The sequence below is a fragment of the Homo sapiens genome, chromosome 2 (genome assembly GCF_000001405.40).
Source record: "Homo sapiens chromosome 2, GRCh38.p14 Primary Assembly".
NCBI lineage: Eukaryota > Metazoa > Chordata > Mammalia > Primates > Hominidae > Homo > Homo sapiens.
In genome coordinates this window covers 46,559,290-46,585,002 of record NC_000002.12, presented here as the reverse complement: position 1 = coordinate 46,585,002, position 25,713 = coordinate 46,559,290, and the positions used below count along the sequence as shown (strand labels likewise).

Below are 25,713 nucleotides of genomic sequence, written 5' to 3'. Positions count from 1 at the left end.
CTTAGGATCTAATTATGAAAATACCTGATTAAGCTAGGATTTACAAATGAATTCTGTTGCCATAGTGTAGTTTAAAAATTTTTAGAATAATTATAAGAAAATCAGTAGGAAACTTGCTTGAGGAATAGTTCTTAGTGGGCAGCCTCCCTCCTTTTGCTGTTCCCTATTTTGATAATCTATTTTGATCTTCAAAAATCATGAAAACGGCCCTTAAAGAAATTCTCTTTTAAAAAAATGACAGGGTTACGATTAAGAAATGCTTATTTCAGGAAAGCCAAGGAGGTACTCTTGTAAGTACAAAGCCTGACCCATCATTAACAGTCTTCAAAGCCAGTCCACATTTTAATTTGCTGATGGCATGCACTTCTTGATTTACATAACATGAATAACCAAGTGTTCCAAGCCGTAACCCTTCATTAGACAAAATTTTTTAACATTTCATTTTTGGCATTCTGTTGGAGGTGAGGTGTGGCAGCTGTTTAAAAGAATGTGCGTGGTGGTATGTATGTGTTTGAGAACAAAGAGCCATACTGAAATTACAAAATGATTAAAATACAATTTAGTAACCCAAATTGGAATCTAGCTGGGATTCATGAGGGATTACTATTCTCCCTATACTTTAACAGTGAGCTTTTTTTAACAGAGTATAGGGACTCATACTTTGCCAATGATTAGTAGACTCTCAGCATAAATAGAGGAAAGAGTATTATCCTAAATGTTTACATAGGGTAATAAATAAAAACTACTAAGGTAAAAAGTTCAGTGCTTTACGTAGATAGTAAACTATGCATAGTATTTTATTTGTAACCCCATGTGTTAAGAAGGGACACTGTTAAAGTAACAATCATTTAAAAGTAACAACCAACAAACTGGTATTTAATTTGGTATTTTAAATAGTTAAAAATCAAATGGAAACAGTGTCTAAAGTCACTAAGATAATTCATAACAAAACCCATTAATCCAAGCTCCACTTATTGTAAATAGAATTCACCATGAGCTAACCTAAAATGTACCTGTGGAGATAAAACAAGAGTGTAAGTTAGCAAAGTATTAAATAAAATTTCAGGGAGCCCCTAAATTTATTTTTAAGAACTTTAGAACTAATTCTCTATATGCAAACACTGATTAACTCAAATATCTTGTAAGTTCATTCATACATGGCCTTATTTGAGGCAGTGTATTTGTATTCACTAGCAAAATTCATGTCAGTAAAATATTTTTGAAGCAGTTTATTTCCCAGATATTTCACTAGTTTGAAATAGTCATTTCAGTGATTAGTCTGAATTTCTATTGAAGCCTAAGCTTTGAATGAAGACATGCTTCTGAAAATAAGGCAGTTTTTCTCTAGTCTGCTTATCAATAGAAAACAAATCTTTGGTTTTTAGTTAAAGTGACAGGAAGGATTTTTGCAAAAAGAAAAACTAAAGAACCAAAGCAATTAAAAAGCTCTTGATAAGCAATGGGGAACTCCAAACCCATCAAGGTCAGTAGAGTACCTAAGGCACCTCAGCTTCAGATGTGACAGTCATCTTTGCTTAGAGTTCTGATAATCTATATACATGATTTTTACCATCTTGAGAATGTGAAGCTGAAAAGGTAACATCCAACAATGATTACTGTGAATAAGAAAATTACTGTGATAAATGGGAGAGACGTTGGAGATCTCTGTTCTACCTCCCATATTTATAATGAGGAAACCAAATCCCAGTCAAGAAACAGGTGACACCAGTTTGTGTAGACAAATTCCTAATCTGTTTCTGTTAGGGCAGGGCAAATTCTAGACTTCTAACTTTGAATTAGTAAACCAAGTGTGAAGGGTTTCAGAGATATGAATTGGAGCCCCCTCCCCCCACCAAAAAAAATCCTCATAAATCCCCAAAGGCAAGTTGGAAATGTGTAATAGTTTACTGTTGTAATTCGTTTATACCATGTGTTGGACAACTCAGCTAATATGTTAATTGATTTATACAATTCCTTTCAATTTTATCTAAAAATAAGCAGACCAAAATTAAATAAGAAAGTTACATAAGATTCCATTTGAGCATACATAAGGCCATGATACTTTAATGTGAACCACCATTTCTTGGAAGAAAGAAGACATCCAAATGTCCGATTCAGAGAGAAAGTTCCTGGCCAGTCATCCAGTAGACTCTCTCCACTCTTCAATGGGAAGGTGATGCTTATATTTTTAAAAATCTCTACAAAGCTCACATACAACAAGACAGTACATCCTAGATTTGTGACTGATATGAGCATTTAAGGCTGTCATTTTCAAGTATAAAAGTTTAGTGTTCCATTACCCAATCTGTGCAGTAGACATAGCTATAAGCTCAAGTCATGTGAATTAACAGAAGCCCACCAAAGACATTTAAAAAATTATAATTTGGGCAACAGCAAGTTTAAATGTAGGAAAGGCTAGAAAAAATGTGATGAGATTGTTTCTCTAAAATGCATTAGGTTGTTCACAATGAAGCTTTGTCTAACACCATTATCTGATGCATCCATTATCTGATGCATGGCATATGCAATAAGGCAGATCCACAGCAGACCAAACAAGGAAGCTGAATTAGGTAATAGAACTAGTAATTAAGATGGTTCACCTCTAACACAGTTCTGTGGCCTGTTCCCCCCAGAGAAAGATTAGAAATGGCTCCAGTGTACCAAATAAGCTTCACAGAAGAACATGAAAATTTTCCTCCAACTTTTTTTTCTTTTTTTTTTCAAGCAGAGCCTTTCACTTAGGGACCAACTGCTTGTAGATGAAATAAATCAACATTAATTACTTCTAGCCTGATGTAATATGGCTGGAGAAAAGGGGTCTCTGGAAGCCGGTATTTTGTTTAACTTACATTCTAGGTGTGTATATAAGTTGTCGCTCTATAACTTCTGCTGTGGTTCCAACATCTATATCTGAAAGGTGGAAGCAGCTGCTCTGTTACAATTTTCATGTAACACGCTTGGATTCTAGGTCTTTCCTCTTTAACACAACTTAAAGAAAGTTTCTTGTGGTTTGGTCAGCATACACACTTCTCATTTCATTTGATGTACACAGCCAAAGTGGGAATTAAAAAAAAAAAATTACCAACTAGTTCAGAGAGCTAAATTGAGTCTATCATTATGGCAAAGTCTGACCCAAAATTTTAATTTGTAATTTTAGCATGTGTCTCATGCACTTTGGGGAGCGTCAAACTAAATCTACAATTGCCAGAAGCCTTGTTACAGTTTAATGCACATTAACTAAAATGTGTACATTTTTAGTGTTCATGATAAATGCAGTTATGACCTTATTACACTTTTGGCATTCTTTAAGAAAGCACATTAAGCTTTAATATAGAAATATTTAGGTTACACTTGTGCTCAAGTAATAATAAAACATTTGTTCTTTTTTGATCTCATACATTCTCTCCTCAGGTATGGCCCATCTCCTGTACGCTTGGAGCGACCTTTGGCTACGTGGCTGGCCTTGTTATTTCACCACTCTGGATATACTGGAATAGAAAGCAACTTACATACAAGAACAATTAACTGGAGCAAAGGGAGATATTTCTTTGTGCAGATTCTGTAAGGGCTGGGCAGAAATGTGTATGGTCAAAGCCAAGCAGTTCCATTTACAGCTCTGTTTTTTACGTAGTTACAACATGATGTGATTGTAGCTTTTTAAACTATGAAACCCCTGAGAGATTGTACCTTCTAGTTGAAATAAAGTATTTATAATAGATTGTGGCTTCAGATGCTGCTTACTGCTTCTTAAACCTTTAAGGAACATTCTTAATACACTTTATAGAATTCTGAGGACAGGTTTTGTTTTCTTTCAAGTTTTGAACTGCTTCATTACCTATAAAAGGTCTGGGTATAGCTGTAGCATTTCATTTGCTTTCTGAGAGAAATGGACAGTTTCCTTGGCCACTGAAGATGTTTCTCACGTAATTAAACAACAGTTTATACATCTTGATCCTATTCTTTTTTTTACAGTGTGTTTCTTTGGAGTTAAAATGGCTATGATAGCCTCATCAAAAACAGTCTTCAATCCCTTCTGGGTTAAAGCTGAACATTCCACATAGCAGCATGCTCCTATCTGGGAGGGAGAAAAAAAATCACAAATATATAAGATCATGTTTATACAATTGGCATGACATAAACACATCATTATAAAGAAAATTATAAAATACAGCTATGCAAAAAGAATACATTCATCATCCATGTTCATAACCCCAGAGGGGATTTTAAAATACTAGTATATGTCCTTCCAGACTTTCTATGAAAAATTATTTCACTCACCACATATTTACTGGGTATCTACTATATGTCAAGCACTGTTTAGGTCCTGGGGATATGTCAGTGAACTGAACGAAAGAGCAGAGTCCCTGCTGTGTGGCGTCCACATGTGCTGACATCTGCTGGGTAAGAGGCACAGGGGAGGGAATACAGAGCAGATGGTTGCAAATGCTGTGGGGAAAAAGCAGAGTGAGGGAGGCGGGGAGTGCTGAGGACAATGGTAGTGGGGGTCCGGGGAGGCTTCTCAATGGGGAAGTTTGAGCAGTGAGGGATACCTAGGGGAAGAGCTCCAGGCAGATAGATCCTGATGCAGGAGCATGCCTGGAGCAGTCAAGGAACAAGATCACACTGAGGATGTGGTATTTGAGCAGAGACCTGAAAAGAGTGAAAGAATGAATCATGTCCATAGGGAAGAACATTCCAGGCAGAGGGAACAACAAAAGTACAAAGGTTCTCAGGTAGAACTTTGAGGGAACAACAAAGGAGACCAGGAGGCCTGGGGAACAATGAGTAAGGCAGAGAGGGAACAGAGGCTTGTAGGCCACTGTGCGGACTTTGGCGTTTAGTCTGAGCTGGGGACCCACTGGAGGATTCTGAGCAGAGCAGTGACATGATTGCGCTTACATTTTTAAGACTTACTCTGGCTGCTGTGTTGAGAACAGATGACCATGGGGCATAGACAGAAGCAGAAAGGTGAGTTGGAAGCTATTCCAGTAAAGCAGGCCAGAGATGGAGGAGGTCTGAACCAGGTGATAGAGGGAAGAGTTAGAAAAAAGTGTCTGGATTCTGGATATGTTCTGAAGGTATGTTGTGCCGAAGGCTAGATGTGTGGTATGGGAGAAAGAGCAAGGTCAAGTACGACTTCAGGGCTTTTTTTTTTTTTTGAGACAGTTTCACTCTTGTTGCCCAGGCTGGAGTACTATGGTTCGATCTTGGCTCATCACAACCTCTGCCTTCTGGGTTCAAGCGGTTCTGCCTCAGATTCCTGACTAGCTGGGATTACAGGCATGTGCCACCACACCCAGCTAATTTTGTATTAGTAGAGATGGGGTTTCTCCATGTTGGTCAGGGTGGTCTCCAACTCCCAACCTCAGGTAATTCTGCCCGCCTCGGGCTCCCAAAGTGCTGGGATTACAGGTGTGAGCCACTGCACCCAGCTGAGGGCTTCTGACCTGAGTAACTGGGAGGACAGGCTTGGAGGGTAAAAGAAGAATCATATCTTAGACATGTTAATTTTGAGATACTCAGCCATGTAGATGGACTTGTTGAGTAAACAGCTGGATAACCAAATTGAGAATTTAGGAAAGAGGTCCAGGCTGGAGATGGAAATCCAGGAATCTTTGGTTGTAGACTGTGCAAGCTACAAGACTGACAGAAGCTCATTTAGGCCTAGGGAGTGTAGCTATAGAAGAAGACATCCACAAAGCTGAGTGCTCATCACTGGGGCCCTCCAACCAGGGACCAAGGAGGTAAAGAGATGGAGCAGAGTCCAATGAGAGGGGAGAAAAACCAAGAGAGTCCAACTGAAGAAAGTTTCAGGAAGGACGCAACTGTGCCAAATGCTGATGAGTCTAGAAATGAGATCATACTGTTTTGCAACTACTTTTTTCCCTTTAGCTACATAATAAATATGAAATCTTAACAGATAGTATGAAGTTTTAATAGATGCAGGGAATTTTTGCCATTATAAACAATTCAGCATCTTTGTAGCTCTAAGTACGTCCCTAATAATTTACTTTTATTATTAAATATTATAAATGGACAAATTATAATTTTATATAAGGTACAAAGCAATATTTTCTCTCTATATATACATATACACACACACACACGAGTGAAATGATTAAATCAACATAATTAACATCTATCACCTTAAATACTTATCATTTTGTGTGGTGAGAACATTTAAAATTTACTCTTTTAGCAATTTGGAAATACGCAGTCCACCATTATTTATTTATTCATTTATTTTGAGACAGGGTCTCACTCTGTCATCCAGGCTGGAGTGCAATGGCACTATCTCGGCTCACTGCAACCTCCACCTCCTGGGCTCAAGTGATCCTCCTTCCTCAGCCCCCCAAGTAGCTGGGACTACAGGTATGCACCATCATGCTCAGCTAATTTTTTTTTTTTTTTTTTTTTTTTTTTTTTTTTTTTTGGTAGAGATGGGGTTTCACCATGTTGCCCAGGCTGGTCTCGAATTCCTGGGCTCAAACGATCCACCCACCTCAGCCTTCCAAGGTGCGGGGATTACAGGTGTGAGCCACCGTGCCCAGCACCACCATTATTAACTGTAGTTACCATGTTGTGCAGTGTTATCTCAAAAAATGTATTCCTCCTAACACTGTACACTTTGACCAACATCCTAATGATTTGCTTAGGATAAACTCTTACATATGGAATTGCTTGATCAAAAGTGTCCATGATTTTAAGGATTTTGCATACTGTCAAGACTGCTTTGATTCAATGACCAATAGTACAACAGAGTGTCCATTTTACTACACGGGTATTATAATTAATTTCTCATTTTTTGCCAATTCTATAGGTGCAAATTGAGCTTACATTTGACTACTAATAAGTTTGAACATATTTCCTATCTTCAATGGCAATCTGCATTTTGGGGGGTGAATTTTTCATTGTTAGCCCATTTTTCTATTGGTATCTGTGGCTGCTTCTGATTAACTCATATGCAAGAGGTTCCTGTATACTAAGGATGTTAACCCATTTTTCTGCCATCCATCTCAGGTTATATGACTTTTCATTTTATTTCTGGCATTTGATGTGGTATTAAGTTTTTATGCAGTGAAATCATTAATATTTTCATTTATGGCTTTTATCTTTATGACATTTAGAAATTCCTTCTCTCCCCAAGATTACAAAACTGAATACATGGAATTTCTGAAGTGATTTGTTAGTAAAGCCATTTATTTTTTGCTTTAGGAAAAACTGTCCTCCAGAAAGTTTTCTTGCTTTCTTTTGCCTCCTGATACTACATTTTAAAAGACTATATATGGGCCGGGCGCGGTGGCTCATGCCTGTAATCCTAGCACTTTGGGAGGATGAGGTGGGCAGATCATGAGGCCAGGAGGTCGAGACCATCCTGGCTAACATGGTAAAACCCCATCTCCACTAAAAATGAAAAAAAAAAAAAAAAAAAAAAAATAGCCGGGTGTGGTGGCAGGCACCTGTAGTCCCAGCTACTTGGGAGGCTGAGGCAGGAGAATGGCATGAACACGGGAGGCAGAGCTTGCAGTGAGCTGAGATCCCGTCACTGCACTCCAACCTGGGCCACAGAGTGGGACTCCGTCTCAAAAAAAAAAAAAAAAAAAAAGACCATATATGGATTCTGTTTCCACAAAAGTCCTATTGAAATCACAACATTTAAAAAATAGAATCCAATAATGTTAAGGCCAAATGGGAAAAAAGGGGAAAAAGTAAACCTATCTTTGGGGCACGAAGGAAGATAAGCTACAAGGTATTGCATGCATCACTGTTACATATATTTTTAGAATTTTTGTATTTTCTATCCTCTTTTCATAAAAAGATTGGAGAAATTTCAACACATTTCTTTTCAAACCTAGTCATCATTTTTTGGTTTTAACCACAAATTTAAACTGTCATCCTAGGTGGCTCCACTGTCTAACTCAATGAGTCTTAAGACAGAGCTGATTTGGCACAGTGCAACTGTTTAAGTAATGAAGAAGGGTTGAAAGTAGTGACACGTGTTTCCGATGCTTTTTTCCATATGTGACTTTTTAGGAAAATATCACTGGCAATGTAGCAAAGGTGTAAGAGTCTCGGCCCAGGAGTCAGGCTTTGGACTGAAACCCAACTCTGCCATTTATTACCTGCAGGATCTTGGGCGAATTATCTGACATCTCCCAGCCTCCACTGTCTCTTCTGTGTAACAGGGGAAACAGACCTACCTCACTGAGTTCATGCAAGGATTAAATGAGATAATGCATGTAAAGCACTCCACCTGGCACACAGTAAATACACAATAAAATTAGCTTCTATTGTTATCTTAGCATCTTTTACATTCATGCTTAAATTCTGTGAGTGTTCCATTACCTCTTTTGCTAGTTTCTGTCCTTGTTCCACACATATAGGTTTTTCTTTCATATCATTCAGTCTTGCTAAAGTTTTGGGGTCATCTCGGAGATCAATCTAATTAAGAAAGGTCAATAATGTCCCATAATATTACAAATCTTTAAAGAAAAATCAAAGCATGTAATCCCACTTAATTCCCACATACCAAAAAAAGATTAAACAAAAGAACTTAATTTTTAAAAACCAGGAAAATAATTGCTTTCTTTTGGCACAATTTTTTCCAAAAATATGATAGAACTCATTAACTTGCAGCTGAGATTAAACACTTACATCATTTGCTCAGCTTTGGGACTGTTTGTCTGAGAGCAGCCTCTACGACAGACCAAAGAGCTTATTCTAAAATGCAGAAAATCAAACCAGACATACCTGAGTTCCTATTAATAAAAAGGGTACATTTGGTGCGTATTCCTTAAGTTCCGGTACCCACTCCTCTTTCACATTTTGAAATGAGGCTGGATTTACCACCGAGAAGCATATAAGGAAGACATCGGTCATTGGGTAAGATAAAGGCCTCAGACGGTCATAGTCTTCCTGAGGAACAAAGAAAAGCCTCATTATGTATTTACATTTCTATTGTTTACTAGTAATATGTACATTAGATTACATGGTCAAAGATGCAAATTCAGGAGTACTCCACTAGTGGAATGTATGGCACTCTAAGTAAAATCAGATAACTCTGTTTTTGTTATTCTTCTTTGTGAAGTTCTGAACACCCATGAGGTAAAAAAAAATGACAATATCATTAACAATGACAATGAAAACTTTGGAAAAATACATTATGATCACTAACGCTGTCACTAAAAACATTTTTAACTAAAAAGTTTGCACAAAGAATTGAATATAGCTAGACATTGCCTAAGTATTATAATTTATAATAATTAATACATGCTAAATATTTACTATGTGTCAGGCACTAGTCTATATGCTCTCTCATGGATTACTTATTTAATCCTTGTAACAACAATATGACACAAGTACCCTTAATCCTGACTTTCATTTGAGTAAACTGAAGCACAGAAGTTAAATTACTTGCGTAAGGATGTGTAGCCAGTAAGTCAAGGAGCTGAGATTCAAATCCTGGCAGTTTTTACTCCAGAGTCTATACTCTTAACCACTATACAGCTTCACTGAGACCTTCAAGCTTTGCTTTCCTTGTTTCTATAGTTTTATTAATTGTGTGTGTGTGTGTGTGTGTGTGTGTGTGTGTGTGTGTGTGTGAAGATTTAAAGAGAAACATACACAGTAAACCCACCAAAATCCTCCTTTACTCTCCAACTTTCATTCCCTCTACTTAATATTTTCATGTTTATTCTTCCAGTTCTTTTTCTATGCATGAATATACCAGTAACTGCACATATTCATACATCTGTACATAAAATGAAATCATGCAGTACTTGTTGTTCTGCACTTTCTTTGTCTTGGACATCTTTCTAAATCAGAATACGTTAGACTACCATATCATTTTACACTGTTGCTTCAGAGTCCCCAGAACAGCTATACTCCTGATGGTTATTTTAGTCTCTATCACAAAAGGCAGTGAATATCCTTTTTTGCATAGACTATTTTATGTGACACAAAATTCTACTTATTTACATTCTCGAGAGTGAACAGAGTCCGGATTCCATTTTTGGCATAGCTAGACTCTCATCTGGTTTCAAAGAAACTTTATTTTTAGCCTGGGCCACCTCCCCTCTTAAATGACTCGTTTCACTACAGAACTACACAAATGTGGAACTAAGGGAATATTAAAAACATCATCTTCCACTTGGAGTTTCAGCAGTAGTATTTCCCTCATGGAACAATTTTCCTTTCATGCATTTTTCTGACATTTTTCATAATATAACTTTCAACTAAAGCATGTTAATGTCCCAAACCCTTGACTGGTGGGTAACCCTTTTGTTTTTCTGTGATGCTTTTGAAGGGCACACCTATAATCTAGAGCTGTGGGCATTAAAAGATTTCTCAGGTGTTCGCTATCACATGACGACAGGGGAAATGCCACCCCCAATCTTCTGCAACTTTTATTTTTTAAAGTGAACGCCTCTAAATGGTTTTGATTAAAGCAGTGCCCTGGTGTTAAGAAATTCACAATGAAGAGATCAAATAGGGTGGGTATGAAACACGTTATACCCCCAGACAGTTACTAGAGGAAGACTTCTTGAAAATTTAACTTTTTAAAAATCAGCTTGTGTTAAACAGTACAATTGAGTGCCTTATATGTACTTTCTGGGCTCTACTGCCTGTTTCAAACTGCAAGTCCATAAAAGAAAAAAAAAAAAAAGAAACAGTATGTCATCTTAGCATCCCACCCAGCAACTCCACACTTCTGAGCAAACATGCAGTTGTCATGGCCGGGAAATGGGGTGTTCTCATTAAAAAGCACTCCTCATCCATATTTAGATTTCCAATTTTCACAGAAATAGGAATGGGGATACTATCCCTTAGGATTATGAGGAATAAATGAAATAGTGCAACTAAAGCACTCCGCATAACACCTCGCACATCGAAGAACTCTTTCAATGCTTAAACATAAATTCTCTATCCCATGGGAAACCAAGTCTCTTATTCCTCTGCAAATCCACGCAGGGTCCCCTGAGTCCCACACTTGCCTCAGCTTTGCAGCTCCCTCCAATCACAGAGAAGTCTTTTAGTAAGAAATAAAATCAAAACACACAAAACTCAGGTCTCTCGAGACAGTATAATTTTCAGATGAATAAAAGAGAATGATATATTATTACTGTACTCATTAGTCACTTAGCCTTAAGACTATTTAAAATGTAACAAAAATAGATTTATATTTAAGAAAGCCAAATTAGAGATTTTAATGGAAATTTTACTTTTCAAGCAAGTTTACCTCCTCAGGGAAACAGAAGTGTGCGCTCTTTCTCTAGTGAGAGATGACAAGAAATAAAAACTAATTGAATGCCATGTTCCCTAGAGATGCTTAACAATATTAATCCAAGTATTTTACAGAAGGTAAATATATTGTACAGATTCCTTTCATAACCACAGTGAATCCTGACTTTCCTCCATGAGAGACGTGAGCACAAAGGAGGACAATTGGACCAATCATTTCTAGATATTTCTTAAATTGCAGGTTTTGTTTGATTAATTAAAATGTGAAGAACTGGGGCTATTAAAAAATAAAACACACATATGTTTAGACCTCCTTGGAAAGAAATGTTACTTCTTAAGTCTGAACAATCTAAAATGAATTCCTTCTGCCTGTCATCTCTGGCTAAATAATTGGCAGTTAGTGGCCGGGCATGATGGCCCACACCTGTAATCCCAGCACTTTGGGAGGCCGAGGTGGGACTCTTGAGGTCAGGAGTCCAAGATCAGCCTGGCCAATGTGGTGAAACACCATCTCTACTAAAAATACAAAAATTATCTGGCCGTGGTGGTGCACACCTGTAATCCCAGCTATTCGGAAGGCTGAGGCAGGAGAATCACTTGAACCCAGGAGGTGGAGGCTGCAGTGAGCAGAGATTGTACCACTGCACTACAGCCTGGGCAACAGAGCTAAACTCCGTCTCAAAAAAAAAAAAAAAATCGGCAGTTAGTACAAGAATGAGACCTTTCTGCTTCTATCCAGCTGAGTAATTAGAAGTCTAATAATAGCAAATTTAGAAAATAAATTATCCCCTGTGCATACTGTACCCTGCATCATATAAAATGGTTCATATGCATCACATAGTATCCTGTGTGAATTTAATATGAAATGTGGGATTTGGGAATGAATAAGTGGAGGTGTGCAGAATCTTTCATCTTCAGCCATATATTTTAAATTTGAGAACACAAAGAAGTCAAATGTAGAGCAACTGCCCTTACTTTTAAAAGATCGACTTATCAAAGTCACAACTTCTCACAGCCAACTCTCCAGTGTCCTCCTAATTAACAAACCCATTATATTTTAGTTCTAATTTTAAAATGTAGGTATTTAAACATTTCAGCATGGTAACTAGAACATTCTCAGGAGTACAGAAAAGTGTATTAAAGACAGCTGTTCAACATCAAAACAATGAAAGAACTGGTGAGTTTAGTCAGCATGGCTGTTGGACTGCATGGCAGACTCTTTAGCTTCTTACCAATTGGCTAAGTACCAGAAGTATCAAGTTTTTAAGTGTGTTCTGGCAGCTTAGTGTTCAGGCTGTCCCTTGTTGAAGAGTCCTCGATATGTGATAATGACAACCTTACTTTAAAAATATCACACATGGCCAGGTGCGGTGGCTCACACCTGTAATCCCAGCACTTTGGGAGGCCGAGGTGGGGAGATTGCTTGAGTCCAGGAGTTCAAGACCAGTCTTCCCAATGTGGTGAAATCCTGTCTCTACTAAAAATACAAAAATTAGCTGGGCATGGTGGCACATGCCTGCAGTCCCAGCTACTCAGGAGGCTCAGGTGGGTGGATCAGTTGAGCTCAAGAGGTTGGGCCTGCAGTGAGCCATGAACATGCCTGGGTGACAGAGTGAGACCCTGTCTCAAAAAAAAAAAAAAAAAAAAAAAAAAACACACACTTACCACCTGATAAGAATCTGCAAACAAAAAACTAAAGAAATGCGCTCTGAGAGGAAACAAAAGCTCTTCCAATGCCACAGAGAAATGTAGCCAATGGCCATCAGCTGGAGACCCCTTTCTGTGTGCAGCTCAGCCAGCAGTGCCCATGAGCCTTACTTCTGCACTATTCTTTGTCCCCTTCATGTGGACCTGGGTGTTCCCTCCTACCTTAGTGATCTCTGTTTAAAATATATGTTTTTGGGATGTGTATGTCTATTTTAAAATACATATCCAAAACATTTCTTAAATAAAAACACTCACATTGGACGATTTACCTTGTGCCATGCTTTGTTAGCTGGTATGCTATCATGTATTATTTAAAAGCAATCAGCAAAGATTTATTGAGACTATAGCCCTCTGGAGCTTGCAGTTTAGTTGGGAATTCAAGATATAAACATATAAAAAGACAGTCATATACAACAATAGGAGGGAATAAAAGTGTAAGCTGGAGCAAGTGAATATAGAAATGCTTAACAAACATTACTAAGCACCTACTATGTGCCCAGAACAGTGCTAACTGCAATAAATAAAGGAGGGAAGGATGAGATTCAAATAACATCTATTTGTAAAACACCTTATAAACATTTACAAAGCTCTCTCATTAAGTATCTATATGTTAAAAATAAGGCAATGCACTTGAATGTGCAGCAGTGCCCACAATGTGCCTGGACACCACTCCAGCGCCTTGCAGACCTCCAAGCCACAGCCTAGAAGAGGAAACTGCAGGCTGGTGTGGGAACGTGCATCAGGTTAGCACCCAAGAAGAACAATTCTGATAGGTGAGGAGATACACACAAATGCATAACAGCTTTCGATCTTAGGAAGTTCATGGTAAGGTAGATAAGATGTATGTGAACATGATATTACAAGTTAGAATGTGGTAAATATAAAAAGTAGTAATGAGGGGACACTAAGAAAAGACCTCTTGGAAGAGGCACTTGAGTTGGTCCTTACAGAATGGAGAGAACTTGAACGTATCCAACATGCTAGGAATGCGACTTTAGTCCAGTCCCTTATTCCTTAGGGCCTTAGTTTCTCTGTCTGAAAAACGGGAGACTTATCAGTGACAAATGCTTTGAAGACCATAAAGTACTATAGGAATGTATTACAATCCCAAATAATGCAGGATAGTACTTTGATGTAAGAAATAGTCATTTATCAAAACCTACTAGAGTTTTCCTCTGTAACAACCTAGAATGAGAAACAACCTAGAACAAGGGGTAACAGATAAGCCCCAGCCTTCCCAAATCTAAAGCAGCTTCTGACTACGTGAAGAGAGACATAAAACATATGACAACTAAGTAAGAATATCCCTGAAAAGTGGTGGCTTTGTGGTCTGTGCAGTAGCAATTCTCTGTGTCACTTCCAAGGCACACAGTAGTAATCTTCATCTACAACATCTGTTTCTAGCGAGAAGTCCAAAACAGGCATCGAGCTCTTGAAACCCTCCACCCTTCAAAGGGTGCTACACAGAAGTCCAGAGGACACATGTCATGAAGCCAGCTTCTGAGAATGCAACTGTTTTCTCCTACATCTAACTTATATATCACAACATGTCTATGGTAATGCTTGGTCAGAGTAGCCTATGAAACCTCATTTCTTTTTTTTTTTTTATTTTTTGAGATGAAGTCTCACTCTTATAGCCCAGACTAGAGTGCAATAGCACAATCTCGGCTCACTGCCACCTCTGCCTCCCGGATTCAAGCAATTCTCATGCCTCTGCCTCCTGAGTAGCTGGGATTACAGGTGCCTGCCACCATGGCTGGCTAATTTTTTGTATTTTTAGTAGAAACGGGTGTTCACCGTGTTAGCCAGGAGGGTCTCAATCTCTTGACCCTGTGATCCGCCTCCCTTGGCCTCCCAAAGTGCTGGGATTACAGGCATGAGCCACCACGCCTGGCCTGAAACCTCATTTCTATTGTGCAGTCATTTTGACACTTTTGAGTTCATTTTATATTTAACTTTGTGAAATGAAAATATCAGTTTTTACCTCTTTAAAAATAACTCTGTTTTTCAAGGAAGCTGGGTTGGGTCCTTTTTGAAAACACTTTGGTAAGTTTGGTTCAAAACTCACCAGTGATGAGTTTACTGAATTTGCCTACCACTTCCTACTACCTCCCAGCACTCTTGGACTAAAGAAAATTTTGGGGAAGAGAAAGGTTTTTTTAGGTGCTATAAATTCTTAAGAGGTCACTGTTTTTCAAAAACTTTGCAAACATCTGGTGTTTTCTTTTCTTTTTTAATTTTCAGTTCAGTTGTGAAATGGTATTTATATGTCACTGGCCTGATTAGCGCTTAGTAAAAGAATTCTTGAAATTAAAGGTTTAGCTTCTTACTTTTAGCTACTGTCATCTTCATATGTTTTGATTTATAATAAGTCAGCCTCCTAATTAATATACCAATTATTTAGGAGCTAGAGAACTAGATCTTGGGCTTCTTTTCCATTGTGCTTTCCTTTTGGCCACCTGACTGATTGTAACTCCTGTTTAGGTTGGCTGGAGGAAACGGAGAGAAAATTTACATCTGGTGGAGCATAAAGAAACCAGCTAGAGGACTGGCCTTGTCATTATCTAACTGTGTTGTGACGAACTGGCACTTCCTCATCTCTAAAAGCAGGGCCCTGAACTAGAAGACCGCCACGTCACATGATGAAAAACACTCAAACTAACACTTCTTACCCTTGTGAGCAGCCCTACTAGCAGATTTAATGTGGGAGGAGGTTCACACTACGGGATAAAAATCAAGTTTTAGGATTCCATTTTATCTAAGCTGACCACCACAAGGCAGAGGATCAAGACTTAGCTAAATACAGCCCTCAGGCAAGCTTCACTTCCCCATCTGTGAAGGGAGAATAAATACACATGTTAAGATAAATGAGAGAGCTGGTCAAGTGTTTCGAGCTCTTTGGCAGACAAGCCTGACTTTCCAAAAAAAGACAAACCACAACTTCGGAGCCAGTGCTATTTCTTCTGTGCATGGTGAGGTGACTTCCCCAGTTGTAAAGGATTTAGAGCTGAAATTCCATATTGTCTGGAGCTATAATTACAAGTCTCTTGCACTAAAACAGAGGTCAGCTGGCCTAAAGCATGCTGAAAGAAGGTAAATGTCTGGTCACATTTCCATGTGGTATACTCCTTTCCTAACTTTTTGGCACAAATTTCATGTTGATAGAACATTCATTCACTCCACAAATATCTGGCAAGTAGGTGCTGAGTGCTGTGTATAGACGAGTGAACACAACACAGACCCTGCCCTCATTCTGTGTAGAGGACAGCAGAGGAGTAGGCACAGGGCTCTCAGCTAGGGCAGTACCACCCTATGTCTGGGGGGCATTTCGGACATTTGGGAGGTGCTGTCAATTGCCAAAATGAATGGGGAAACTCTGCTAGCATTTAAGGGTGGGAGCCGTGGTGCCACAATGACCTGTATGAGGAAAACCAGCTCCAGGCCCGCATGACTAGTGAGTGTACTGCTAGACATTCATAAACATGAAAAACTCTTTTGTGGGAAAACAGCCTGTTGCATAGCAAGAGTGATCCATCTTGAAGTAAAACTGCCATGATGACCAATGTTTGACGCCTACAATTCAAGGTGGTCCAGTAGCACAGATAAGCCCTCACAACCTCCCCGTGGTCATGAGTTTCTAAAGGAAGTCAGGGATGATGAGCTTCCTGTGTCTTTACCCTAAAAGCTTGCTATATAAAGGATACTTTCTGGAGGTTGGTTGTGAGAATCCACCATCTCTTGGCCTACCTAGACATCGTTTCTGTTTCTAAGTCTCTATTAAATATTTCTTTCTGAGAAACTGGATTTGTCAGTCTCTTTCTTCAGCCTCTCAGCTCCCTTGGCCTTTGAAGGTAGGTTTGCATAGACCTGCTCACCATGGAACACCTTTTATAATCGCATGAATCTAGGACCTGATCCTGCTGCATATATAAAAAAATAAAGTTTTTTGGCATAACTTTAGTGCATATTTTAAACTTTTTCTTTTTTGAGCAGGGTTTTACTCCGTCACCCAGGCTGGAGTGCAGTAGCATGATCACAGATTGCTACAGCCTTGACCTCCTGGGCTCTAGCCTCCACCTCAGCCTCCCGAGTAGTTGATACTACGGGCATATGCCACCATGCCCAGCTAGTCAGAAATTTTTTTATTTTATTTTTTTTTTGTAGAGACAGGGGTCTTGCTCTGTTGCCTGGGCTAGTATCGAACTCCTGGGCTCAAGCAATTATCCTGCCTCAGCCCCCTAAAATGTTGGGATTATAGGCATGAGCCACGGCCCTCAGACTTTAATGAATTTTCTAGGAAGGTAATTTCAGTCCACATTGAAGGAGAAAGATTGAACTTTATTTTGTTTGAAACATCACAGGAGGCTGGGTGCAGTGGCTTATGCCTGTAATCACAGCACTCTGCGAGGCTGAGACAGGTGGATTGCTTGAGTCCAGGAGTTCAAGACCAGTGTGGGCAACATGGCAAAACACGATCTCTACAAAAATAAAAAATGAGCCAGGTGTGATGGTGTGTGCCTATAGTCCCAGCTACTTGGCAGGCTGAGGTGGGAAGATCACTTGAGCCTGGGAGATTGAGGCTGCAGTGAGCTGAGATCATGCCACTGCACTCCAGCCTGGGTGACAGAACGACACCCTGTCTCAAAGAAAAAAAAAAAAGAAGAAAAAGAAAAAACAAACATCACAGGATTTACTTACCATCACAGAAAACCACATGCCACTGGCTACATTGCTGTTAGTATCTGAGTCACTAATAAAAAATAACTATGTTAGCCAATATTTGTAACTGTTGCATTCGTGGTCATTTTACCTAATAGGTGCAGGCCTGATTACTTCATTATGATTTCTGGAGTAGTCAGCCTTGGGAGTTTAGGAATTTAACACTGAAATAAATAGTTTTATGATGAATTACTTTCCTTTTTATTTCTCCTTTATATCACTGCCAGGATGTTATACTGATTTAAAATTACATGTATAGGGAGGTTATATTATCTATAGATTTCATTTGAGGATAAGTAAAAAGGAAGTATTTGTTATAAAAATGGGAGATGGGTCTGATAAAATTGAGGTATCAAATCAGGCATTGAACAAATTGGGACAAAAATGACTATAAATGCAAATTGGGACAGGTGCTATGAAGGAAAAGAGCCAGGTTCTGGGAGAGAGAATAACCAGGAAGATGAGTTTCAGTCTGCGCAGGCAAGAAAGACCTCTCTGCAGGGGTGATGTTCAACCTGAGACCTGAGGGACCGCTTAAGGAGACAGACAACAAGACAATGTATGCAAACGTCCCAAGGCAGAAAAGCCCTGACATACTGAAGACCACAGGGAAAGGCCAGGTGACAGGTGGGGCTGGAGAGGGAGTCAGCTTGGACCCCTCTGCAGGGCCCACCTGCAATGGAAAGTCATTAAAAGGTGAGCCCCCGACCCCCGCAAAAAAGTCACAAAATTTGAAAACGATAATCCAGGCTACTTTGAGAAGAATGAATTAGGCAGTCAGGCTTATAAGGGGAGAGGTTATTATAGTAATTCAGCTGAGAGAAGATGGAAGCTTAGACTAAGGGACAGCAGTTGACAGCTAGAGAAATGGTGGATTCTAGATATATTCTGGATATATCTAGATGATATGGCATCTTTTAGAGGGATGAAGAAAACTGAGGGTAGGGTAGAGAAGCACCATAGGGAGAGAACTCAAGAGGACAGTTTGGGACGTGTTAAGCTTGAGATGTCAAGCAGGTGGTCAGAGGAGGTCTCTGCCTCTGAGTTCCAGAACTAGCTTATTACTATGTACCTCCTTTTAGCTGAACCAGAAGCATCTCAAATTCAACATTTCTGAACTAAATTCATTTCTTCCCAATCAAAACTGCAACTCCTCCTGTATTCACCATCTCACTAGAAGATATCACCACTCAATCAGGGTGCACAAGCCAGAAACCTGAAAGTTCTCAGGATCAACCCCTAACACAAATACACACACTAAAGCAGTCACCTGCCCAGTGAGTTTCCCTGTTTCTTCTCTCTCTCCGTATTTCTTCACCTGGGAGCTCCTACTCATCTTCCAGGCTTGAGTCTGGAAATCACTTCATCCAGCAGATCTTCTCTGAACCCCCAGTTCAGCTTAAGCATTGCCATGCTCCACACTTCTGTGGCACCACAAGCTTCTCCTGTCATCCTGTTTGTTTATACTGTAATACGATTGCCTCTTCTGATCTGCATCTTCCCCTTCTGCATCAGGACTCCCTGAGGGCAGGGGACTATTGCTCAAGGCCTGGCTCATGGTCGCAGCTTATTACATTCCCGCTGAATCAATGACGGTAGCTCATGGGAAGGTGAAGTGAGAAAAGTCAGCTGCAGTCATTGTGCAGGTAGCTTGCACAGTGCTAGCTGCACCTCCTTCACCAGCTACAAAGCTTGAGAAAGTGGATCAAATACCTGAATTCTCTCCAGTAACAGGTTAATTTCTCAGGCTGCTGATGTCACTTTCGGCCAGATGTCAAATTGCCTCCTGTGAGCAGGGCCATTTTTCTGTGGCACACCAATGGGTCCAACCCACCTCCCTGAATGTGAGCTCTTAATAGGAGAGCCTCAGACTGAGTGATGCTTTAAGCATTTTAGTTCCTGCTGCTTTTCACCACAACTTTTTCTGCATTGTCTTGACATTTGTCTTATCTAGGTATGGAGAATACAGTTGACTGTCTATCCAGCATTCTTCTCCTACTTCCTCCTTCTTTCGAAAACTCTGATTCAGTGCAGGACCCACCACCCCTTCTACACTCAGACACATGCCCCTGGGGACCCTGGCCCCATACTTAGCTATATAGAGAGTCCCTGGTTGGATTAAGCCAATCATTGAGTTTCATTCCCCACTCCTGCCCCTCCCACTAAGTCGCTGGTTTTTGGTGGGCACATGATCTGGGTTGTCCAATCAGAGCAAAGTATTCACTGGCTTGTCCAACGTAGCTCCTGCTCCACCTTCTCCTTCTGCAGCTGCTCCCCACCTTCTCCTGCAGCTGCTCCCCACCTCCTCTCCTCCACACTATAAAAGGATTTGCCACTCACTGGCCCTATCTCTGCAGCTCATGGAGATTATTCAGGGCTCCCTCTACATAGCCCATTGCTGTGTTTGCTGTTATCACCACCAGGGTGTATGCGACAGCTCAGTCCCAGAATCTGCTCTTACTTATCTCCAGGACTAGCTATGGAGAGGGAGGTGTACAGACATCCCAGCTCTGACACTTCTACCAGAGCAGCCCTCTCACCCTTTTCAACACTTGGCCTACAGAGGCTGAAGTCCCCAGTTGACATACATACTTACACACATCCTTTTAATAGACAAAGGCAACACGCAGCCAAGCAGCAAAGAGAAGACCCTGGTAACTACACTCAGATGAAGGCTGCAGTGCTGCCTTCCTCTATGTCCAGATGAGGCAGCCAGAGTGCACAGAGGAGTTAAGCCATGACCAACAAACCCATGTGGAATGTGAATACTTGAGCCCCACTCTGCTGGCCAAATAAACGCATACAGTGCAATCTGCCATCTGAGGACGAGGATGGCTTCCCGGCAGGCGAAATCAGGATGCCCTCACAGACATGCTTGCACAGAACAGGCCCTTTCAAAAACACACACAATTTCTGAGGAGGAGATGAAAATGTTTTGGAACTGGCAGAGCTGGTGGTTGTACAACACAGTGAATGTACTAAATGCCACTGGATTGTATACTTTATTTTTTAATTTTTCTTTTAGAGACAGGAGACAGGATCTCATTCTGTCACCCAGGCTGGTGTGCAGTGGTGCGATCGTGGCTCAATACAGAGTCAAACTCCTGGGCTTAAGCAATCTTCCTGCCTCAGTCTTCCAAGTAGCTGGGACTACAGGTACGTGCTACCACATCTGGCCAATTTTTTATTTTTTGTAGAGATGGGGGTCTCACTGTGTTGCCTAGGCTGGTCTTGAACTCCTGAGCTCAAGCAATCCTCCTGCCTTGGCCTCCCAAAGTGCTAGGATTATAGGCATGAGCTACTGCATCCAGCCTGATTATATACTTAAAAATGGTTAAATTTATGTCGTGTAAATTTCACCTCAATTTAAAAAAAATACACACAGGGGCTGGGCGTGGTGGCCCACGCCTATAATCCTAGCACTTTGGGAAGCCAAGGCAGGAGGATCCCTTGAGCCCAGTTTGAGACCAGCCTGGGCAACATAGGGAGACCCTGTCTCCATTAAGAAAAAGAGAAAAAAAGAGGAAAGAAATACACACAGGTCCACAAGTGTGCAAAGGTATGATCTTGCCTTACAGGTACCCAGACACACATGCGTGTGTATGCACACATGCACACTCACCTAGATTTCTTTGAAAATTCAGAAAATTCTTGCAGAATTACCCTGCAAGAAGTCCCTGGAGGCCAAGAGTTGATGTGTTGACATCAATTCTTCACAATATGCATCCATCACCACTGAGCACAGCTTATCCTCCTTGCACGGGTTTGATGCCCTCCCCTCCCCTGCCTATTCTGTATTACTTCCCTTTATCTTCTTCCCACCAGCTCTGGCCCTTTTATACTACAGACGGTTCCCCGTGGGGGCTCTTCCCGGCCTATCACAAAACAAATAGCCTCATGACATTACTACAGCCTATGTAACTTTACAGCCCAGAAGAGTGCCTGCTCATGCCTTCACAGCAACCCAGGCTACCCACTGACTCTTCACCATCAGCCTAGGAGATAGGTCAGCTGCCACCTCACTGATGAGGAAATAGGATCAAAGAAGCTCACCACCTGTCCAGAGTCACACGGAGAGGTGGGTAGGAGTGAAGCAGGAATGCAATTCTCCTAACCACGAGTGTAGGACCCTCTCCCACACAACCCCTCTTTGTTTCAACCAGGTAGTCTATCATGGGGTTTCAGACACAGACCTCCTGAGTCTCTGAGTCAGGCTTCCTAGCTGTGTGGCCCTGGGCACAAGTTACTTACCTTTTCTGTTTCTTTTATTTATAAAATGGACTACTAATGGAGCCTCCTCTTAAACACTGGGAAAAGAAATGAGCTAAGGTATGAAAGGCACTTAACACATGTGCTGGCTGCTAATTTATAACCATGTCCACCGAATAGTGTTCCTTTTCCATTCAGTTTCAGCAGATTTGGGGCAGAGTAATAAATAGGCAGAAAATGAGAACTGAATGTGAAATTAACTTCAGCACAAACGCACTGAGAAATTTTGCTGGTTTAAATAAGTGTGTAGGTTTACATGGCAGGCAAGGACTAAAGTCAGGTATTTTATTAAAATACTGAGAAAATAGCTAAACTGATATATCTCAAATACGTTTTTCAAAAAAAATCAAAGGCTGGGAAGGGAAAAGAGTCAAATGCACATGGGCTTTGATGTGGCCACGGAGTCCTCTCGGCCCACTTTGCACACAGCAGGCAGGTTTCAGTGGCTCCCTGTACAATAATGCACACATGTCTACACTAGCATCCTCTGTGTTCCAAGAAGTTCAGACAATCTAGCAGCTCAACTTCTTGATTTCCTACTCTAAAGGACCTGGCTAGGGAGGAGTGCCATTTCTGAAGCAAAGCAAGAGCCAGTGAGACAAAATCAAAGAGAAGCAACAGTACAGATAGAGGAGGAAACTAGTAACAATAGAACTTTATAAGAAAATCACCAGATAAACTGTCATTCCAGTGGTTTCAAGTATCTATTCTCTTTTGTGTATTCTCATAAAAGCCTTAGAGTCAGCAACGGGACAGGTGGTGTCATTCCTCTCTTTCTCCAGGGCAGTGAGGGCAGCAGCTGAGCCCAGGCTCTCGGTGAAGTGGTGGAAAACTATCACTGGAGCAGTTGGGCTGGCAGCAGTGGGGATGAGGGAGTTTCAAACTTAGAGGTATAGACCCTACAGTCTGGTGAAATTGCATAGGAACCGGCTAGGTCCCTGTTCTCATCCCCACCCTGTGCTGCCGATAAGTGAGTCTTGTCAGAGCCTGTGCTCCATCGTTTGGGCCTGTGTTATGTGCTGCCTGGAAAATCAAATCGTGTGAGTCTCCCTTCAAAGAGCCACTGGCTTAGTTAAGCAACCAGTGAGACACTGGCAGCAAGGGGATGTCATGAGAACAGTGGAATGCAGATCTGGAGTCAGAGGGCCTGGCCCGAGGTCCAGGGTGGCCTCTCACTGGCCATGTATGTAATCTTGTTCAAGTCATTTCCCTATCTCTGACCCTATTTCCTCATCCACTAAAAAAATGCGGTGCAGAGGGAGGGGTAGACAGTATGACCTACCTCTTAATGTCATTGTTAGGGCTAAATGGGATAAACGGGTCCAAGGAAGCCTCAAATGTAGGCACAGATGAATACAAGAGCCAAGAGCCATTGATGCTAAGTGCCACAGGGATTCAGAGTGGAGAGAATACATCTGCCCTTGACAAACAGAAAAGGCTACATGGAAAAATAGGTATTACTGGATGTTCTCTGTTAATCTCTCCATCAAGGCACCCATCTTCAGAAGACCGTGCCCTTTAGAAGTCCAAACTATGTAGCTCAGAGTTCAAGGTTGGCCATGCAGTCATCAAACTCCTCTTCCCACCTTAGATTTAATGGCTTCTCCGATGAACGACTACTCTGTAGCCAAAATGAACATAGGCTGCTCCCACACCTCCCCATCCACCCCAGCTTCTCCCACATGACTCTTTCTGTGCTCTTTTCTTGGCCTGGAATACTCTGTCTTGCCTGGGCCCCCTTGCCACCCCAAACCATACACACATACCAGCTACTCACTTAGGAAAACTGTCCAGACCCTCCCCTCACCGTACTCTTCCTGCCTGGCCAATGTCTTTGATACCTGTATCAAAGGTATATATACATATGTACATATATACACATATATATATACACACACATATATATCAAAGGTGTATATATATATACACACACACACAGACATATAAACGTGCGCACACACACATACCTGTATATACATATATATACTAATATATTAGAGAGATATATGTCTATATACAGGTTTTGTGTGTGTGTGTGTGTGTGTGTGTGTGTGTGTGTGTGTGTTTATGGGGTCTATAGTAGGACACTCTATGCATTTGAGATAGGGCTACATTTTGAAAATTAAGTTAATGAAAATCAATTTGTAATTGTTATTAGTCATCTGTAATACGGTTTATATTCAGATGACTGAGACACTTCAAAACACCCAAATCTAATCAAGGTGACTGCAATGTAACTAAAGAAAGCTATAACCTAATGGAGTATGTTTTGGCCTATCTGAAAAATATGTTAACTGAAAAGTCATGGTCTATACAGACTCTACGCAAAGTCTAGCAAAGTAGAAATTGCATAATGAGAATATTAGTGACTATCTACCTCTGTCCAACAGTAAGACAGCGGATGCTGGAGCTAGTGGACACAACAGATCCTGGCCACTGGAAACCCATGCTCTCGTATGGAAGGAAAACGTGATCACGTGACCCCAGGATCCAGATGAAACAGAAATCTCCTCCCAGAAATCCAACTCGCTTTGCTGCAAAGCCTGTATGCCAAGCAACTTCTTTATTAATTCATCAGGAGCCTGGCCCTGAACAGAATATCCACCACTATAACTTTGTTCTTCATATTTATGTTTCTAACTATAAAAAAAGAGAAGACTTCAGTTAAGTCCCAGCCAACTGAACGTATGCATTTATCTTTGACCTCTCCAAAATCCTCTAACATGTACAGTAATTGTTTTAAAAAACATAAAGCCACAAGGACAAAAGAAATAGGAAAAGAAATAACAATAACAAAATTTAGAAGCTAAAAGGCAAAAAAACAAGTGGAACTTACTTAACAGGCCCACGGAGCCAAATTCGGAGCGAGCAATGAGGTGCCAGTTAAACACCGGACTGCACAGCAGACCTCCCTGAGGGTCTGAAGCTATGGGAACCAGAAGAGCGCCTGCTTCTGCAGCTGGACTGAACGCGGAGCCACAAGCAAGAGGGTGGAACGAGTTTGCTTTTTAATACCTTTTCCCCTTCCCTATCATGATAAATGCTCCCCAATCCTGGTGAAAGGCAGATGATACTTATTCTCTGGTAAGGGCAGAACTAGGCTTCCCGAATGGGAGACACCAGGCCCAGTCGAAGCACACAAGGCCACGGTACAAAGAAAATTGAGACCCCCCTCCAACACTCTGCTTCTTTCACTCGCCTCCCAGGATGAATCCCTCGGGCAGAAGAGTAGAAGATTCTTTCCTGGTTTATATGACTAGCCCAAGGGGGAAGACCAATACCTACTAACCCTACAGGTTCCCCAATAAAAAGACCCCAACAGATCACCCTACAACAGTGGTTCTCAACTGGGGGTGGGGTAAGTGAGGACTGGTGTTGCCCCAGGAGAACATCTGGCAATATCTGGAGACATTTCTGTTTGCCATCAATGGAGGAGGGATGCTGCTGGCATCTAGGGGGAAAAGGCTGGGGATGCTGCTAAACAACCTACAGTGCACAAGACAGCCCCCCCACAACAAACAATCCAGCCTTCAATGTCAACAGTACTGAAGCTGAGAAACCCTGACCAACAGGGAAGCTCAGAGTCAACCAGCCCTGCCCATACATGCTTTCTCATGTGCTCAATGCCACTCTTGTAAACACAGATAGACATTTGAGGAACTACCTGAAAGAGATCAAAATTAGAGATTACACAGAGAGACAAAAAATTTGAAACACTATCATTAATATCCTCAGAGAAATCAGAGATGATATACCATCAAAAAACAAACTAGACAG

The 25,713-nt window shown here is 40.9% G+C and overlaps 2 protein-coding genes and 1 long non-coding RNA gene across 7 annotated transcripts in view, besides 3 other annotated features; 2 read left to right on the top strand and 1 right to left on the bottom strand.

The window, feature by feature from the left end:
• Positions 1–4,066, top strand: part of PIGF (phosphatidylinositol glycan anchor biosynthesis class F) — a 36,105-nt gene extending 32,039 nt beyond the window's left edge. For all 3 annotated transcript variants that reach the window (NM_002643.4, XM_011532908.4, NM_173074.3), the window contains one exon: positions 3,412–4,066. In NM_002643.4, coding sequence (NP_002634.1) covers positions 3,412–3,525 — 114 coding nt within the window. In that variant the 3' untranslated portion in view covers positions 3,526–4,066. The remainder of the gene's footprint in view (positions 1–3,411) is intronic.
• RHOQ (ras homolog family member Q) overlaps positions 315–25,713 on the bottom strand; it is a 42,199-nt gene continuing 16,800 nt past the window's right edge. The window contains exons 3-6 of one of the 3 annotated variants that reach the window (XM_011532726.3): positions 8,752–8,916; positions 8,347–8,442; positions 4,279–4,394; positions 315–4,075 (exon numbers count right to left, since the gene is read on the bottom strand). In XM_011532726.3, coding sequence (XP_011531028.1) covers position 4,075; positions 4,279–4,394; positions 8,347–8,442; positions 8,752–8,916 — 378 coding nt within the window. In that variant the 3' untranslated portion in view covers positions 315–4,074. The remainder of the gene's footprint in view (positions 4,076–4,278; positions 4,395–8,346; positions 8,443–8,751; positions 8,917–25,713) is intronic. The other 2 variants (NM_012249.4, XM_005264229.3) reach the window with 2 other exon arrangements.
• RHOQ-AS1 (RHOQ antisense RNA 1) lies at positions 4,765–16,747 on the top strand. The gene is made up of 2 exons (NR_104182.1): positions 4,765–4,968; positions 15,433–16,747. It is a non-coding gene; the product is annotated as an RHOQ antisense RNA 1 (long non-coding RNA).
• Positions 14,243–14,342: an enhancer, noted in NCBI's record as "active region_15714". NCBI's record gives its function as "activates an Ori minimal core promoter by ATAC-STARR-seq in GM12878 lymphoblastoid cells {active_cell/tissue: GM12878}" and the evidence as "EXISTENCE:reporter gene assay evidence [ECO:0000049][PMID:35858748]".
• Positions 19,723–19,812: an enhancer, noted in NCBI's record as "active region_15713". NCBI's record gives its function as "activates an Ori minimal core promoter by ATAC-STARR-seq in GM12878 lymphoblastoid cells {active_cell/tissue: GM12878}" and the evidence as "EXISTENCE:reporter gene assay evidence [ECO:0000049][PMID:35858748]".
• Positions 21,790–21,849: an enhancer, noted in NCBI's record as "active region_15712". NCBI's record gives its function as "activates an Ori minimal core promoter by ATAC-STARR-seq in GM12878 lymphoblastoid cells {active_cell/tissue: GM12878}" and the evidence as "EXISTENCE:reporter gene assay evidence [ECO:0000049][PMID:35858748]".